This window comes from Homo sapiens, chromosome 1 (genome assembly GCF_000001405.40).
Source record: "Homo sapiens chromosome 1, GRCh38.p14 Primary Assembly".
In the NCBI taxonomy this organism is placed as follows: Eukaryota; Metazoa; Chordata; class Mammalia; order Primates; family Hominidae; genus Homo; species Homo sapiens.
Genome location: NC_000001.11, coordinates 197,908,797 through 197,912,463, shown reverse-complemented (window position 1 = coordinate 197,912,463; position 3,667 = coordinate 197,908,797).

The following is a 3,667-nucleotide window of genomic DNA, read 5'->3' as shown; positions in this document are numbered from 1 at the left end:
ACCGGCGGTACGGCCCGGCTTCCCCAAGCACCTCCTCCCATCCGGTGGGGCGCGTCCAAACCGCTCCTCCCGTGGAGACCTCAGGTAGGGACGCGGCTTGGAGCAAAGCCGGGCCTTCCTCCGGTAGGCTCCCAAGAAGTCCCTGAAACTCCCGGGCGTCCGGGCGCACTCCGAGGGCAGAAAACTGCTCCGACTAAAATATCTCCATCAGGGTCTTACCTTGATGTCCAGATGTCAGACGTTTCCCCAACTAGAACTCGGTTCTCGGCGGGAGGCGGCGGCCAGAGGTGCGGGCCAGTCCCTGCGTCTCGCTGAGGGTCCCCCTGTTAATCCAAATAAATAAATAAAGCATTGGATGAAAATTAATTTCTCCCTTCTCTCTCTCCCCCACCCCGTTGGAGTTGATCTGTTTCCCTCACCTCTGACCCTTAGCTCTCTCCACCTGTCTTTTATTTTCTGTTTATGCTTCCAAATCGGGAGGGGGAGGAGGAAGGGGTGGGCAGAGGGCACAGACGCGGGCCGGTGCCCAGAGAAACGCTCTGAGGTTGCGTTCAGCCCTTCCAGCCTCTCAATAATCAGAGGAGGTGTTAATGGAGGACTCGGCGGTAACTGAACCTCATAAAGCCCAGAGCGTCTTGAGGCTGGGGCGCAGCAGGGGGACTGGAGTCCCGCGGCGTGCCCTGGGCTCCCGGCCCCCCAGCCAGCTTTTGCCTCCCTGCAGCTTGTACCTAAAAGATGCTGCCGCCAGCTGGTGCTTGCATAGACGGTGAATGGGCGGTAGCTCCTGCGGGGAAACTAGGCTAAGCCATTGATTGTTCACCCACCGCGTCCCCGCCTTCCTGTCCCGGTCCCTCCTTCACTCCCCTCGCTCCCGGGCTGGGTATCAGGAACCCAGCACTCGGGAGTATTCTGCGCTCGAGGTCGGCGTTCGAGGCCGGGTCAACGAGAGAGCCGGGGCATCTCTTCCTCCCGGGACCCGGCTAGGGGATGGGGGTGGTGATTAACCTTCCGGGAGAAAACCCTCACTTGGACCCGGGCAGGCAGGGGTTAGAGGGGATGCAGCCAGACCCGGGACGGGGCGGAGGCCACATTACCTGGTCGCAGGTTCCCAAGGGGCTGTGTTGCCCGGGGCGCAGTCAGGCCGCGGGAAAGTGGAGGGAGGACCTGGAAGCTGGGCCTTGGGCCAGTTATTTACCCATTCCCCCACCCGGTGCGCCCCTCACAGTCGGAGATGGGGTGGCAGGGGATTACAGCAAGGCTCCCGCGCCGGTAGGGAGGAGAGTATGAGCAGTGAGATTGACCGTTCCAAGATGCTGGTCCCGGTGATGGTGCCGCCCTGCCTACCCGCCCCTCCTCCACGTGCCACCATAGCTACTCCTTGGCGGTGCGTGGCGTGGGTCCAGGGCGCAGTGGGGGGGGGGTGTGGGGGGACGCCCGCTTGCCTCCCAGCCGCTTGCGAAAACCGCGTGGGATTGCTGCTGCATGTGGGGCACGTGGGAGTGGATGCCGCCTCCACGCCTGACCCACAAGCTCCGCCATACAGTTTAGGGTCGGTAAGGAACAAACCAGGAGCGGCGAACCCCCTGGCTTTCTCTTTTCATCCCAAATCCCGAAATGTAGCTCGGAGCACCTCCTACAAGATCTCTGTTTCTACCCAAACACTTGGCTTCGCTAACTAGTCCCACCAGCCCGGTCAGTCCCACCAGTTTACCTTTTAATCTCCCCTACACCTGACTTTCCTCTTTCCGCCCTGGCCTCCTTAGCTCTTTCTTCTAGAATCTCCCCTATATCGGTCAGGTTTCGCAGCCAGGAAGGGACAGTCCTCCCGGGTTCATCTTCTATGCTCATCAGCGAGGCCATCGAATGGATGGACGGCGATACCCACCCGAAAACGCTTGGGTGCTTTCAACTCATTCCTGTCGAAAGCAACCGGGTTTAACCTCTTTGCGGTCCAATACCGTTCTAGGTATTTGGTAACGACATGCATTCTATACACACACACACACACACACACACACGCAGGCGCACGCACACTGAAACGCGCACCAAAGCTCACACTTTAGAATACAAATTTCTGCTAGGAGGATGTGGTCGTTAAGGATCTTCCAATTCCTCTAGAGTCCATGATTCTTTGGTTAACACTGTCTTTTATGCCTGCAGTGTCAGGAAGGAAAGCCGTGAATCTGTGCGTTTTGTGTCATGAGCCCAACCTCGAAGCTGTTTGTGGGGACAGAGGTCAACCCAGTGCCCTGGGCACCCCAGCACACATCAGAGCATCCAGAGGTCCAGGGTACGCTGGACATTCCAGGGATAGCTCAGTCTCTGGCTAAAGACAGCTGCGTGTTCTTCCCCAACCTTTTTCTCAGAAATCAGGCTCTTCACAGAGACTCGCAAAAAGGATGTAGACTTTCTCTGCCCTCCACCCCCGACTTAAATATCTTACTTTTTTAATGATGGGAGAGGAGTTTTGGTATCCAGGATTATGTCTTAATTTTTGCATGATAATGAAAAAATAGCACCGATTTTTCACTTCTCCACCACAGACATCCATTCCACAAACTCAAGCTATGGCTTGAATGTTAGAAAAGATGAAATGGCAGGTGTCAGCAAGGAGTGGAGGGCGAGGTTCCTTTTGCACTAGCCAGGGGCTGTGGGATCTCAAAGTGCTCATAGGAAGGCAACATGCCAATTGCCATTTGTCTGGTAGTGAGCTCTCTTCTCCAGCCTTGTCTGGAGACAAATCTAAGATCCGCAGATTTCTGACAGTGTAACTGTGTGTGCGGAATAGACTTTGCCAGTGCCTTTGGAGAAGGGGTGCTGCGCTGGAACAAAGACCTGCGCCAGGCCCAGAGAGCGCCTCCACTTCTCAGGGCGCTGTCTGTTTCAAACACACCCTGTTTGAAAACCTTAAATTTTACTTGAAAAAAATAAAAGCCCTTCTCTTCCCTGCTCTGAATAAACAGTGGGGGCAGTGCTGCTGCTTGAAGAGACAGGAGTGTGCATCATGATCCACCTGCCACGACAATCAACGCTGCAGGAATCTGTCTTCACACCCCACCCTGGCAACCCTCACAAGATTCCCCAGTTTCCATTGGGTCGTTTCACATACGAAACAATCTAAAAATCATTTTCCCTTGATTTATTGCACCCTGGGGCAGAAGGAGTCTCCAGAAACCTTGAAAGTGAAGCAGCACCAGAGTTGATTTAAACTCTAAAGTCTCTATTTCTTGGCATCCACATGTGTTTGTATACACACACCTAATAAGAAACCTGAATTTTACTTTACAATGTGCAAATACAATATAGCTTAAAGCTCTTACAGGGAGACCCATTTATGTGGCCATATTTTATTTAATGTGGGAGCACTCGCCCCCGCTGCCACCTCTAACGTGTAGTTCGCATGCATTCCTCTAGAACTACAGCAAACTTCAGCCCTCCTTCTGGCTCCAGGAGCACGGAAGACTATAAGCATCTCTCTTCCCTAGTCCCCGCCGCAGCCCTCCAGCGGCTCCTTTGCTGTTCTTGCCCTCAAGGCTTGAAGTTCTGCCAGGAAGAATTGCGGGTAAGAATTACGAACGTCCCACATCAGGGTCCTCCGTGACAAACATCCTTTCTTTTTCAGCCAGTTTCCTACTACAGGAAGTGCGCTGGGAAGAGGCAAGAGCTG